Consider the following 16,298-nt stretch of genomic DNA (forward strand, 5'->3'; position numbering starts at 1 on the left):
AGAAGAGTCAGTGAGGTGAAAGAGAAATCAGTTGAAGTTCTGCAATCTGAAGGATAAAGGCACAATTTATTTTTTAATGAACAGAAATGGGGGACAATATCCAACAACTACCATAAGTATAATAGTAGTCTTAGGAAGAAAAAAATAGAATATAAAGTATTTAAAGAATTCATGGCTGAAAATATGCCAAATTTGATGGGGAAAAATCAACTTATAGGATCCAGAATTTGAAAAAATCCTAAAAAAGATCAAATTAAAGAAATCCCCAAACACGTCATGGTCAAACCACTGAAAACAAAAGATAAAGCAATCAGAGGAAAAGGAACATTACTACAGGGAACAATAATGAAAAACAATTGCTGGCTGCTCATCTAAACAAGGTAGGCAAGCTAACAATGAGCCAATATCTTTAACATGCTGAAAAAATTTATTTGAGAATTTTATATCTAATAAAAATATCCTTCAAAAATAAGGTAAAATGGGCATCTTATTATAAACAAAAGATCAGAAATTATTTGCAACAAACATAAACTACAAAAAATGTTAAATAAAAAAGGGAAAAATTAAACTATATGAAAAGTCATGTCCATAGATGGGAAGAGTCATAAAAATAAATAGACATAAATATAAGATGTTATTCCTCCTTATTATTTCTTAAAAGATAGGCTATTTTTTATAAAAGCAATAATCGTTTCACAAGGTAGAGTTTTTAGTATATAAAAAAAGATGTGCAAAAGAAGGTACAATGGATAAGGGACAAGCTAACGGAATTTTACTGTTGAATGTTTATTATATTTGGGAAATGGGAAGTAGAAACTGAGAAATGGGAATCATCAGGTTTGGAGCTGGAACTGTGAAGGGTTAGGTGTTAAGTGGATTAACACTGAATCTAAATAGACCTTAAAAGTTGAGAATAGGATAGCATTAACCTTAAACACTATAGAATTTTTTAAAAGAGCTAAGAAGCCAATAAAGTAAATAAAATAGAATATTTTAAAAATATCCAATTAGCCCAAAATAGAAAAAGAGCAAAAACAAAACAAAAACAAAGGACAAAAGGAAAACAAATGGGACAATGATAGATTTGAACACAACCATATGGATAATTACATGAAATGTAAACAGAGAGAGAAATGTAACTAGACTAAGACTAAACAAGGGGTCAAAAAACTATGTCCTGCAGGAAAAATCTTGCCTACTTGTTTCGTAAATATTTGTGGAAAAAAATCGCCTGACCATTCACATGTTTTCTATAAATGCTTTTATGCTACAATGGCAGAATTCAGTAGTTTTGACAAAAACTGTATGGTTTGCAAAACCTAACATATTTACTATCTGGCCCTTTACAGAAAACATTTGGTAACCCTTGGAATAAATACTCTATACGGGAGACTTTAGGGGAATTATGATGTCACTTTTTAGTTCCCATAAAGTGTCCTGTATAATAAGAGTGCCTACAAAAAAGTCGATTTAAATTTGAAAAGACAAATAAGTTGAAAATAAAAAGATGGAAATAATATATAGTATAAACAGGAATCATAAGAAAGCTGTTGTGGTTATGTTAATATGAGACAGATAAATCTCAAGACAAAATCTATTTCAAGAAACAAAAATAGTATTTCAAAATAATAAAAGAGTAAACTCATCAGAAAGATATGACAATCTTAAATATGTATGCACCTGATAAAAGAGGTTCAAAATTCATAACACAAAAACTGATCAAGATAGAGGGAGAAATAAGCAAATTGGTAATCATTGTTGAAGGTCTGTAATACCACTCTCTCAGTAATTAATATAAGAAGAGATGAAAAGTCTTTATTCTTTATTTCTTTATTAAGAAAAAAATCTGAATAACACTACCTAACCACCTTTACCTAATTAGTAGTTATAGAATACTATACTCAACAAATACTACACACACATTCTCTTTAAAAACACATGGGATATTCATCATGATAGGACATACACTAACCAGAAAATAAACCTCAAACATTCCTTTACACTAATAATAGACAAACAAGAGTGGAATCATGAGTGAACTCCCATTCACAATTGCTACAAACAGAATAACATACCTAGGAATATGACTTACAAGGGATGTGAAGAGCCTCTTCAAGGGGAACTACAAACCACTGCTCAAAGAAAAAAGAGAGGACACAAACAAATGGAAAAACATTCCATGCTCATGGATGGGAACAATCAATATCATGAAAATGGTCATACTGCCCAAAGTAATTTACAGATTCAATACTATTCCCATCAAGCTACCAATGACTTTCTTCACAGAATGAGAAAAAAATACTTTAAATTTCATATGGAATGAAAAAGAGCCTGCATAGCCAAGACAATCTTCAGGAAAAAGAACAAATCTGGAGGCATCACGCTACCTGATTTCAAACTATATAACAAGGCTACAGTAAGACAAACAGCATGGTACTGGTACCAAAACAGATATATAGACCAATGGAACAGAACAGAGGCCTCAGAAATAATGTCACACATCTACAACCATCTGCTCTTTGACAAACCTGACAAAAAGCAGCAATGGGGAAAGGATTCCCTATTTAAACAAAGGTGTTGAGAAAACTGGCTAGCCATATGCAGAAAGCTGAAACTGGATCCCTTCCTTACACCTTATGCAAAAATTAACTCAAGATGGATTAAAGAGTTAAACATTAGACCTAAAACCATAAAAACCCTAGAAGAAAACCTAGGCAATACCATTCAGGATATAGGCATGGGCAAAGACTTCATGACTAAAACACCAAAAGCAATGGCAACAAAAGCCAAAATTGAAAAATGGGATCTAATTAAACTAAAGAGCTTCTGCACAGTGAAAGAAACTCTCATCAGAGTGAACAGGCAACCTAGAGAATAGGAGAAAATTTTTGCAATCTATCCATCTGACAAAGGGCTAATATCCAAAATCTACAAGGAATTTAAACAAATTTACAAGAAAAAATCAAACAACCCCATCAAAAAGTGGGTGAAGGATATGAACAGGCACTTCTCAAAAGAAAATATTTATGTGGCCAACAAACATGAAAAAAAGCTCATCATCACTGGTCATCAGAGAAATGCAAATCAAAACCACGATGACATACCAACTCACACCAGTTAGAATGGCGATCATTAAAAAGTCAGGAAACCACAGGTACTGGAGAGGATGTGGAAAAATAGGAATGCTTTTACGCTGTTGGTGGGAGTGTAAATTAGTTCAGCCATTGTGGAAGAGAGTGTGGTGATTCCTCAAGGATGCAGAACTAGAAATACCATTTGACCCAGCAATCCCATTACTGTGTATATACCCAAAGGATTATAAATCATTCTACTATAAAGACACATGCACATGTATGTTTACTGTGGCACTGTTCACAATAGCTAAGACTTGGAATCAACTCAAATGTCCATCAGTGATAGATTGCATAAAGAAAATGTGGCACATATACAGCATGGAATACTATGCAGCCATAAAAAAGAATGAGTTCATGTCTTTTGTAGGGACATGGATGAAGCTGGAAACATCATTCTCAGCAAACTAACACAAAAACAGAAAACCAAACACTGCATGTTCCCACTCATAACTGGGAGGTGAACAATAAGAACACAGGGATGCAGGAAGGGGAACATCACATACCAGGGCCTGTCAAGGGGTGGGGGAGCTGGGGAAGGGATACCATTAGGAGAAATACCTAATGTAGATGACGAGTTGATAGGGTGTAGCAAACCACCATGGCACGTGTATACCTACGTAACAAACCTGCACATTCTGCACATGTACCCCAGAACTTAGAGTATAATTTTAAAAAACTTAAAAGAATGAATTTTCACAGAGTATGTTCTCTTCCTAAACTGAAATTAACTTAAAAATCTATAAAAATTAGATCTATAGAAAAAGCCCAAATAATTAGAAATTAAATAACCCACTTCTAAATAACCCATAGACCAAAGAGAAATCACAAAGAAACTTAGAAAATGTTTGAAAATTAATGTTAAGAATGCAACAGAGTAATAGAGGACACAACTAGCATGGTGATTAGAAGATGTGTAGCTTTAAATGCCTATCTATACTAGAAAATAAAATCTAAGTTTCTGACTTAAAAAAATGAAAAAAGGAAGAGCAATTTGAACCCAAAGTAAGGAAAAGAAAAGTAATATCAAAAATCAGAACAGAAGCCAAAGAATTAAATAGACAAATGATAGAGAAAATTTAAAAACACAAGTTAGTTCTTTGAAAAGTTTAATAGAATTGGTAAACTCCCAGCAAAGTAATCAGAAAAAAGAAGAAACAAAATTGTAAAAATTAATAATTAAAGAATACATAGTGCTAGTGATTCTACAGATATTAAATGGATAATAAAATATAATGAACAACTTTATGTCAATTAATTTAATAACAAATGGAATGGACATTTCCTAAACAACTCAACTTATCCAAACTGAATCAGAAAAAAAAAATAGAAAATTGAATGATATTCTTCCCTCTATTAAAGAACTTTAATAGTAATGGGAAACTTTCCCACTGAGAAAGAAGGCAGAAAGAGGAAAAACAAAAAGTACAAGGGGAAAAAACACAAAAGACAAATTGGAAGCACAAAACAACAGCAGAAGGACTTTCAAATATATTAGCTAAGACAGGCCATGCACAGTGGTGCAGGCCTGTAATCCCAGCACCTTAGGAAGCCAAGGCATTCAGGTCACTTGTGGCCAGAAGTTCGAGACCAGCCTGGCTAACATGGCAAAACCCCGTCTCTACTAAAAACACAAAAATTATCCAGGTGTGGTGACACATACCCATAATCCCAGCTACTTGGGAGGCTGAGGCACAAGAAGTACTTGAACCTGGGAGGAGAAGTTGCTGTTAGCCAAGATTGTGCCACTGCTCTCCAGCCTGAGTGACAGAACAAGACTCTGTCTCAAATATATATATATATAAAATATATATTATGTATTATACCTTACCATATATAATATATATTATGTTTATTATGTCTCAGCATATATATAATATATAATATATATAATGTCTTACCATATATAATATATATTATATAATGTCTTACCATATATATATAAAACATATATATGTTTATTTATATATATATGGTAAGACAATACATAAAAGTGGTCTAAACGTGTTCTTTAAAAAACAAAGTTTCTAACTTCAAAAAAGTAACCAAGTAAATCTAACAATATGGTCTTCAAAAGAGTCAAACTTACAAAGGCATACTGGATACGAAGGATGAATCAAAAGAGTAAACCAATTAAAAGAAGTAAAAGAAAATGATGTAGCCATCGTTTTAAGAATCCATTTTAAGACTAAAGGCAGTACTGGGGATAAAAAGGTATCCACTCAATAAAAGATCCAGTTCACCTTAAAATATAACAGTGAATAATTCTAAAGTTGTGTCCACCTTGCTGTATAAGATAAAAATTAATAGGATTACAAGAACAACAGTATTACACAGTGCTGATACAATTCTTTTGGAAGAATAACCCAGATAAGATTATATAAAAATAATATTAAGGCTGTGACACATGTATTTTATGTGATGTTAACCTACATTACAAAGTGAAAATTACTGAAACTATAAGTATTCAACATAGAAAATTAAATTAATACAAGAGAACAGATAGTCAAGAAAATAAATCAATTATAAAACTTTAATAAATCCCAAATCAGAGCCACACAATAATAGATGAAAAATAATTACTACTAGTAAAGATGTCAGTGTGGAAAAAATGTTATAAACTCATAATTCACCACCTCATGGCTATGCATTTCAAAAGCATCAAATAATTAAAACCAATTTTAATATAAAAAAAGTATTTTTCATCCCATCTGAAAATGAGACAATAACTTGACTCTTCAAGAGATGAAGCACAATCATTAGACACAAGATAGATTAAGTACATTTTAAAATTGCACACTAAAATGTAATATAATAAAGATAAAACTTTGATATATAGAATATCAATACATATGTGGAAAAAAAATGCTCCTACAAAATATTTAGGGAATATGTAAGTGTTCAAAGGCCAAATTTCTCCAGATAAATCACAAAGCAGATGAACTAATGATATAGAGACTGAAAAATACAGAAAAAACTTCACAGGTGTAATCATGTGTACAGCACCATTATAATTGAAAGTAATAAAAAATGACCAAACTGCCCCATGAAAGAGGAATGATTAAAGAATCTATCATTTACCAAGTGGATGGAATGTATGATTTTTTTTAAATGACAAGTGTCAGGAAGGATGTCTCTTTCACTAAACTTAGCGTTTATGGCCACCAGTAACTCTCACTCATAGTTTGTCATGATATGTATGTAGATATATAGAAGAGGTTTCCACTAAGAAAGTGGCACATAAGCTGGGAACAAAGCTTGGGTGGGCTTCAGATCACCTGGATGTAATGGGAAGAGGTCTGAGAGCAGGTGGTGCTGGTGCAGCATAAACACAGAGGAAAGATTGAGGGGTCCAATTACAAGGGCCCCTTGGCAGATGGGTCTAATCAGATTGGAAGTGAATGCTGAGTAACTAACTCTTAAGTCAGATAATGAGCAGTCTTGGATGCCAAGTTATAGAATTTAAACACTATTTAAACAATTCCTGAGGAGGGGAGGGTTATGACCAATACTATTGTTTTTTAGATCATTTAATGTGAAACACATGGGATAACCTAGAAACAGGTAGACTAAATGTAAAATATCAGATGAGAAAACTTAATAAGGAACATTCTCAAAAAGTAGAAGAGTTAGGAATTCATACAGTATGCAAAAGAACTAAATACAGTTATTGTAGAAAGACCTAAGTACACTGTAGCCAAATAGCAAATTTTGAGTACAGCTGTAAAAATAGCATGATGTTGAGAAATACTGAGAAGAAATATGACAAAAAGGGGCCCATGTAAGCTCCATGTTAGAACTATGTGAAGGTAGGGGCATTAGTCAAATGATAAAAGTGAGCTCTAAGAATAGTATAAATGAATTAATGGGCAAACAGAAAGTTTTGTTTCCTTGTTTTCATAAAAAGCCAAAGTAATGGAGTTAACTGTGTCAAAAAAAAAAAAAAAAAAAAACAAGCCTGATGACGACAATTGACCTCAAGTATGGAGAGGGAGTGTTAAGGAGACAGATGCTGATTAGCTGATTTTTGTAATACATCTGTGGAGGACTGTGCAATACAAAATGGGTTTAAACAGGCAAACAAGATGTATTTTTCTGTAAGATATAAAAGCATCTCCTAACACATACTTTGTTTCCACTCTCTCTTTTACCCCAAAAAGCTATGTAATATGCATCCCTGAAAATCTTCAAGAAGCAGTAACACTCTGCTTTTTAAATTCATGTTTCCTAATGGCCTCCTCAAGACACATGATTCTGTGATTCTATTAATATGCCATGCTCTATTCAATAAGGCTGTCTTCTAAGCAGATAGCTTCTGCCTGGAGTATATGGAGCTATGATGAAAGAGAGTACTATCTTGAAGTCAGCTGGAACATACCAGTCAGTCATCAGAGAACAGTGATGCGATAGACACGATTCTATCACTTATTCCACATTTGACACTATAATTTTTTCAATCATTAAACCATATCACTCAGACACAGAGAAGAGACAACCTCTTACAAAACTGTCCCCAAGGCCTGATGCACTGTCCAAAAGAGACAATTAGTATTTTTCCAAGTATTTCTGAAATTTATTTCACCCTCCCCAAAGCATATCATATCTTGTATACAACCACTTTTTTAAAAGGTTTAAATTTTAAACCACTTAACATCTGTGGAACATATAATTCTATTTTATTTTTATCTAGGGGCCTGCCTTGTAATATATAAAGCTAAAACACAAACTCTGTAAGCCTAGAGGCATCTAAGTTGAAATTTCCTCTAAGACCTACTTAAGGAAGTAGACTTTTTTTTAGAGCTGTAGAATGGAAGCTAGCCACATAAGGTGAAGATCAGTGAATCACATCACATCCAGCTGAAAAAGAAAATTAAGTTGTTCCCTGTGGAGAGCAGAGATTTAGGAGGCCAAAGGTGCCTCACAGGCAAGGGGATGTGGGCCTAGGAAATAAAATTCTGATCCAGGAGGAAGCTGTCCTGGCAATCCTCTCCTAAAGATCGGTTTGAATTGCCACACGGGTCTTCAGTTTCCCCAACTACTGATCTTTTCCAGATCTAACTTCTCTAGACTCAAGAATCACAACCTGAATTTCCGCCCAAGCTTCTGTCCCTAAGGCTTGAAAGTATGTGTCTTTCATGTGTCAAAAGTGAACACCCTGCTGGTTGCTGGAGGAGAAGAGGGAAGCTTTGTCCTTTCTCAGCTTTACTGTTTGATTTTAAGCAACCAGCTGAGGAAATTCTGGACTTAATGAGTCCTTCTTTTGTCCTTGGAAGAGTTACAGAATGCAGCTGTCAGGCAGCAAGAGTCGTACAGGAATCTTACAGATCCTCTGTAATTCTTCACATAGCATCGTATTTTACATTATCAGTTACTAGCGGCCTGACAGCTGAGACTACCTCCTATAAATTCCCCAACAAAGGAAGACCAGATGTGTCTTCTTTATCAGCCACATTTTCCTGTACATCCTGAGAGGTCTTTGAAGAAAAGCAAATTTTCCTTTTTTCCTATGAACAAAGGAAGGAACAGCATGTATTAATAGAGAGTTACTAGAATTCAATGACCCAGGAAGCACTTCCTAAGTATCTCTTTGAGCCAGGCATTGAGTGACGATCTATAGATCTGGTTCAGAAGAGTATAAATAATTTCTTGCACACCCTGCCTAGGCAGAAACAGCTCTGTGCAGAGGAGAGCTCCAAGCCTCAAGACACATGATAAAGCCTTTATTCTGACAGAATCAGAACTTTTTAGTAAGAATAAGCATTTTACTGAGATGTAATGTTTAAAAAATACTCAACACAATAGTTTTATAAGACCGTTCTTACACCAACCAGATTTGGACTTATACCAATTAGTTATATCTTGCTCTAATAAAGTGACAATTTTATTTCAAATGCTTACTTTTTTCAAGGTTAAACTTCTAAATGTACATGGAGGAGTGGTCAAAAATAATAATATAGTATGTCTTTCTCATTCTCGTTATCACACAATATTTAAATATATCCAATATTACTTGGTAGCTAGCTTGATATTGTTGGATTACTCATACTCTTAAACCTACTTTATAGTGAAGCCAAAATTGATTTGTTGTTGATGTACTGATTGTCATTTCAACATCAGCAATCCAGCTGGTATGATAAAGACCAGGTCAGCCCAGGAGAATCTCTCAAAACAAATGTGCATATTGATCCCCCCTCTCTCCATTTGCTCTTGACCAGATTTAAGGCTTACTGCGATCTAGGGACACTTGGGAGTATATGTCTTTTCAAATAGAGATAACCCAAAAGCTTCCATAAATTTACTTTAAGGATTAATTTTACTGTTGAAATCTCACCTATAGTAGAATATGCTTCTCAAAGAGAAAATAAAACATTTTAAATAAATTGTTTTCCCTCCTATGTACAAAAAAGATGAGCTTTATATCAGTATGACTATGACAAAGAAAATATTAAGAACAATAGCATATCATTTTTGTGCAAATTACTACAAAAAGCTAGTATACTTATTACATGTAATTTTATTTTTAAAACTCTGAAGATAGCATTTACCACTTTCCTGAAATCTCAAGTATAATTCTCCTTCTACTTTCTTTCATTTCCTTCCTTTTTTCACAAACGCCCAATCCAGCTCCTAATAATTTTTAAGAAAAGCCTAGAAGGCATTACCTTCGTGACTGATTTCCACCTTCAGCAACTGAAAAATCAGAATCACAATGGTGCAATTCCAAGTAAGTTTGTATTTAATGCCGTAGATGCCAATTGTGCTTGTTTCCAAACTTGCTGATCTGGAATGATGAGTGTGAATTTTTCATTCAGAATTTCCTTTTATACCTTTAATAATTCCATGGATTCTCAAACATAACTCCAAAATATTATTAGCTACGGGGTTTCTTTTGCACTCAATTTCTCAAGTAAATGAGTCATGCTGTTCTCCAGGACATCTTTTACTAGTGAGCTTTTTATTTGGGCTGAAGTAACAGTGACCCCAAGTAATGACAAGCAACAAAAAGAATTGCTTGGAACCCAAATCATGTGTCTGTATGTGAATAAACCTAATGCATGTTGTGGTATATACCTGCTTTTTCTTTCATTCTGTATCTCCTCCCTGCCTACGCCAATATTCACTATCATGTTGTATCTTTTTTAACAGTTATGCCATATCCAGTCTTTAAAAATTCTTGGAGTAGCATTTTAAATACAGGTCTACATTACTTAGAAAAATGCATTCTTTCCCAAATCAAAAAATTTTTTTAAAAATTCAAAGTTATTATCTCAGGGTATGGGGGTTCTTGTACTATTTGCCAACCTTAAAACTATATGCATATCAGTAACATGAACAGATTCAGTCTCAAAATGTGTTTTTTTTAGTGAATTTGATTGGAAACTCATTCCTGATTTAGTGAATTTATTAAATATGATGAGGTATTGAGAATAGGCGTCAGATAAAATTGCTTAATGATTCTTCTATAGCTAAACTCTGATCCATAGGCTTTTTGTGTATTCACATTAGAATTGAGAGGAGCTAGCAGGCCCAGCAATAGACTGACATGTGTGCAGAAAAACATGGACTAAAAATATGTTGCATTTGTATGGCACATCAAATTACTTAATTTCTTATGATTTAGACCTGCCTCATATTGCACCTGCCTCAAAGGGTTGTAAGGATTAAATGAAACAATGTGGGTGACTCTTGCACACATACTTCAATCACAGTGAATGGGAACTCTCATTCTGATGACTGATCCCATTTTCTTCTATAGGTGGCACACATTTCTATTCTATCTATCCTCATAAATCTGTTAATCTTTTCTTAAGTTAGCATTGAAATTAAGTAATAGTTACTGACTTTCATTCACCTAGAGTTTTCTTTCTGAAGGGCATTGAGTGATTCACAGTGCATGAATTCCTCAGACTATATTCTATGTCTATATCATTATCTGTTTCTGGACCCTAGATTTCACTAGAATCAATTAAAAATAATATTGCATTGACTTCATATGAACTTTTTCAAACAAATTTTTAATTTGTGCTTCACTATCCAGCTCATTGAAAATTATATTTCCTCTCCCTGATGCTTTCCTCTGTCAGCAGTCTCAATTAGTCCTATTTTTCCATTACTTCCAAACACAAAGCTATAATTTTGATTCCTTTTAAAAAGAGTTATTGTAAGACAGACTAAAGAAAAAAAATAAAGAAGCCCTTACTTCTGAGAGCTGAAGGTCCCTTCTGAGCAAGGATGGAATACTCTACATAAAGCCAACAATCACAGATATAAAATTAATCTGGAGCCATGCACAAACTATTTTTTAAAATGGGCTTTAATTAATTTGCTTTAAAGAGAAATAAAATAACATGTGATCAGTATAATAGTTTATCCTGTTAACTTTGCCCTATAAAATGTTTGCTTGGTCTTTAAAAAAAGCCAGAATCTCTATTTGGAGAACATTTTTAGTAGCATAATTACAATATATACTCTTTAAAAATAGAAAACGTTTTTGAGCTTTAGTAGTATAACAAACACTAGTAGTTTCTCACCCAGAAATTGTTCCCCACAAACACCTTTGTTATTGCTCACAGAATCTCGATTTTGTTTAGGTCTTGTTCATTAAACCCCAGTTTTTACTAGGTATCAAATACTCCAATGGCCTTATCTCTAGATCCAGTCCCAGCCCTCGACCCTGGAGGGGAATCATAATTTGTCCAGATCCTCTTGCTAGTGGTTGCTTTATTCTGGGGTATATGATATAGTGCAGGCGAATGAATGAGACAAGAGAGGAAGTCTGATGAAAAGATTCTAAACAGAGATGAAGAGGAAAGAGCTCCTCTTTTGCTCCTCGATGTTGTCATGTCTACATGTTATAAAACTGTAGCAGCCATTTTGGGACCATGAAGGAAGTTAGCCTGAAAGGAATTGCTGAAGATGGCAGAGTAGAAAGATGAAAATAAAGTAAGATTTTCATGACATTAGAAAACTGCGGCGTTAACAAAATTGAAACTGCCTTACCTCTGGGATTCTTGCTAGGTAAGACAATTAATCCTCTTATTATTTAAGACACTCTAAGTTGAGATCCTAATACTTGCACCCAAAATCATCCCAACTAAGCTACAGCAATATCATCTTATAAGATCCTTGATAACAGCTGTAAGATGCCTAACTTTACTGATAAAACTGGAGGCTCCTCTTACTCTACGGCATTCCAAGCTCATTCTCTATCAGCTCCAAACTCTGTGGGCATAGATTATTATAACTTAGAAAGGAAAGGTGATTCAAAGTATTAGGCATACTAATAGATATGTCAAATATAGATGAGTAAGGACAACACATTATAATCATAAGAAAAGAGTATGATAAATAAAGAACAGACCTGAATTAATAGCTTTTGTAAAATTTATCATTCTGGAATGCCTATCCAGAACTAATGAATTTTTAGGATAACCTGAATTAGGCACATGAAATTGAAAACAACAATGATAATATAGAATAATGTCTACAAATGGCCAGGATGAGATGTAATAAGAATAAATGTAAAGTCATAGATTTACGTCCCAGAAAATGTAGTGTACAAATTTTGGAAAGATCTAAAAAGGAGTCCTACTGGTTTTAACCGTTCCCAAATCTGGTACATAATGAATAGTGTTGTATGGCTGCAATCAATAAACATTATGGTATCTTACCTTCATTAATTGAGTATAGTGTCTAGATCTATGGCTTCCAGCCCCAGATAGATATCAAAGTTATGTGTAGAGCTTTTAATTAGTAAATTTTATTTTTAGAGCAGTTTTATGTTCACAGCAGAATTGAGTGGAAAGTACACAGAGTTGTCATATACCCCTTCCTCTACAACACACAACCCTGATATTATCAACAGTCCAAGCTCATTCTCTATCCAACCACATCAAAGTGGTATATTTTTTACAATGGATATCTACAATGACACATCATTATCACTCAAAGTCCATAGCTTACTATGGGTTTGTTCTTGATGTACATTCTATGGGTTTTGACATATATGTGATGACATATACCTACCATTGCAATATTGTACAGAATAGCTTCACTGCCCTAAAAATCCTGATTCTTTGCCTATTCATCCCTTCTTCCCTGAAACTCTTGGCAACCACTAATCCTTTAACTGTCTCCATAGTTTTGCCTTTTCCAGAATGTCATGTAGTTGGAATCATACAGCATATAACCTTTTCATGTTGGCTTCTTTCCCTTAGTAATATTTATTTAAGCTTCCTCCGTGTCTTTTTCTAACTTGATAGCTCATTTCTTCTTAGCACTGAATAATTTTCCATTGTCTGGATTTACCACAGTTTCTTTATTCACTCACCTACTGAAAGGCACCTTGGTTGCTTCCAAATTTGGGCAATTATGAATATAAACATCCACGTGCAGGGTTTTCAATTCATTTGGGTGCATACCAAGGAGCATGATTGCTGGATCTTAGGGTAAGAATATATTTGGCTTTGTAGCAAACTCCCTGTCTCCCAAAGCATTTTCACTATTTTGTATTTTCACCAGCAATGAATGAAAGTTCCTATTGTTTCTGTGGTGCTTTTTTAAAATGACAATATCTGGGCCCAAATCTAGAACTAGTGAATCAGAATATTTTTGGATTGGACTTGGCTTTGTGCATTTTTTAAACTCCATAGGCAACAGGCAGTGACACTGGTCTAGATTCTAGATTAAGCAAGATTTGTTGTACTTAGCTCTGAATAGATCTCATCAGTGGGACATTATTTAGTTCTGGGATAATAGTTTTTAAAAAGATATTTAAAAATTGAAGTGCAGCCGAAGGAAGCCAACCATAAAAGTGAAGAATCTTGCAATCATAGCATAGGATGAATAGATGAAAGACCAAGGATATTTGGTCTAGAAGTGAAAGGACATAGGGGGAACTCATGAAAGAAAGTAACATATTTATGTTGAATAGTTAAGGTTTGACATGTGAAGAGTTGCTGTCATTTGTTATCTCTGAAATAAAAGAATTAGGGAATTAATGTATGAACATTACCAGGCAAAAGAATCTCAGATCAATAGATAGAAAATTTTTCAAGCCATTAAATATTCAGCAATGAAAAGGACTCTTTTTGGAAAAGAGTGAATGCTGTCATAATTGTAAGTTCCTCCAGAGGCCCATGACAGTATAGAATAAAATCAGGAAAGTTGTAAAAGGGACACTTGCCCTCAACAGGGAGTGGACTAGAAAACCTCTAAGGTTCCCTTGGACTCTGCAATTCTATGATATTCTGAGCAAATATATCACATAGAGATCACAGAAACATGACAAAGAAAGCAACCTTGAAATTCACTTGTTAAGGCCGGGCACAATGTCTCACACCTGTAAGCTCAGCGCTTTGGGAGGCCAAGGCAGGTGGATCACCTGAGGTCAGGAGTTCAAGACCAGCATGGCTAACATGGTGAAACCCCGTCTCTTCTAAAAACACAAACATTAGCCGGGTGTGGCAGTGTACACTTGTAGTTCCAGCTACTCGGGAGGCTGCGGCACGAGACTCGCTTGAACCCAGATGGTGGAAGTTGCAGGGAGCTGAGAATGTGCCACTGCACTCCAGCCTGAGAGACAGAGTGAGACTCAGTCTCAAAAAAAAAAAAAAAAAATCACTTGTTAAAAGCCTTTCACTGTGTAGATAACAACTGCTAATACAAAGTGAACAACTACTATGTGACTGTCTCTTTATGCATGCTATTACTAATTCTTACAGAAACCTAGAAAGATGAGATGGCTATTATCATTTTATAGATGAGGAAAGCAAGTTTCTCAAGAGTTAGTTTGACTTACTTAAAGCATTTAACTAGTATGTAGAAGAGAAAGCACTTGAACCAATGTCTTGACAAAGCCAAACCCTTAATGACATCTCAGAGAAGTTCTACAAAATAAACACTAAACCCCTGTTTTGTATTCAAGATCAATGATCTGTCACCAACTTTAATTTTCAACCTTAGTTTCCTTCCAAGTTCCAAGTTTCCTGGCAACAAGGCTTACATTAAAATGGTTCTTTCAAATTCTAACACAATTTCGTCTTCTCTCCACATCTTCCTGAACCCAAACTCTATTAGAGAACTAGTCCAAATCCTTCCTCTTCAAATCTTTGATGATATCAACTCAAAATGAATTACCTATCCCAAGAAGTCTCACTGCATCTTATATTAAGTCTCTTGTAGTACTTAAAATGTTCTGCTTTGCATGAATTACATGTGTGTGTATGTGTTGCCTAATAACAATTTTTGTATGTGTCTCATTTCTGCTACTAAGTTCTAAAATTCACTCCTAAGTCCCCCTGAAAAGTTGAATATAACACCAGGCACATGGTAAACAATCAATACATTTTGAATCAATAAATGAATGGAGCAAACATACTATGCCACAAAGAAGTTAAGTGATGTGTCCGAGATCACAAAGGTAATTTGCCTCTCAACCAGAACTTACCCCAGAGCTTATATAGAGCTTTTTCTAAAAAAAAAAAAAAAAAAAAAAAAAAAATTTAATTGCCCTGTGAAGCAATTCTGGTACATACTTAGATAATAAGAAACAAAAAAAGAACATGCGAATTATTGATTCAGCTCTCCAAGGGGCAGGAGAAAAGGGGGGCTTTTTCCTAAACTTAAAAATAAGTTTAAGAAAAGTCCTCTGATTTTCTTCTCTGCAGAAAGAAAACCAGAAATTCTATTTGTTGGCATTTTTTATGATATTTTGCCTCAGTTAATTAAAGCCAAACTCAAGTACCTCAAACCAAGATCTGTCAGTGCAGTCACTAAATATACAACTGCCAAAGTTCACAAATATCCAGAAACCTACATTTCTCATTAAGTAGATAGTATCATGGACTTGAGAACACATTTTCTGAACAAATAAATCTGGAAAATGCTATTCTTATGCCATCATATTTAAGAACAGTAATATATCATTTTAATAGCTTCTCTGCCATGTCACACATGGGGAGGACAAAACATCTTTTAACTAACAAAAGAGATTCAGAGAGGAAACTAAAATCAGAGATCTTGGTAGAAAAACATAGCAAAAGGATATAAATTATCGTAAAAGGTTATTGTTTTATTCAAATAGACAATTTACATAAATGACCAGCTGTATACTTGAAGCTAGTGGCAACACATGTAAAAGCCTGCAAAACCAATTCCAGAGATGAA

At 34.2% G+C, this 16,298-nt stretch overlaps 1 protein-coding gene across 11 annotated transcripts in view; it reads right to left on the reverse strand.

Annotated features, from left to right (window-relative positions):
- Window positions 1-16,298, reverse strand: part of INPP4B (inositol polyphosphate-4-phosphatase type II B) — an 823,376-nt gene that overhangs the window by 721,061 nt on the left and 86,017 nt on the right. Inside the window, exon 2 of one of the 11 annotated variants that reach the window (XM_047416356.1) lies at window positions 9,794-9,912. The exons of the other annotated variants lie outside the window; for them this stretch is intronic. The gene's annotated coding sequence lies outside the window, so the exon portion shown is untranslated. The remainder of the gene's footprint in view (window positions 1-9,793; window positions 9,913-16,298) is intronic. 11 annotated transcript variants of the gene reach the window in all.

This window comes from Homo sapiens, chromosome 4, assembly GCF_000001405.40.
Source record: "Homo sapiens chromosome 4, GRCh38.p14 Primary Assembly".
NCBI classification, from domain to species: domain Eukaryota; kingdom Metazoa; phylum Chordata; class Mammalia; order Primates; family Hominidae; genus Homo; species Homo sapiens.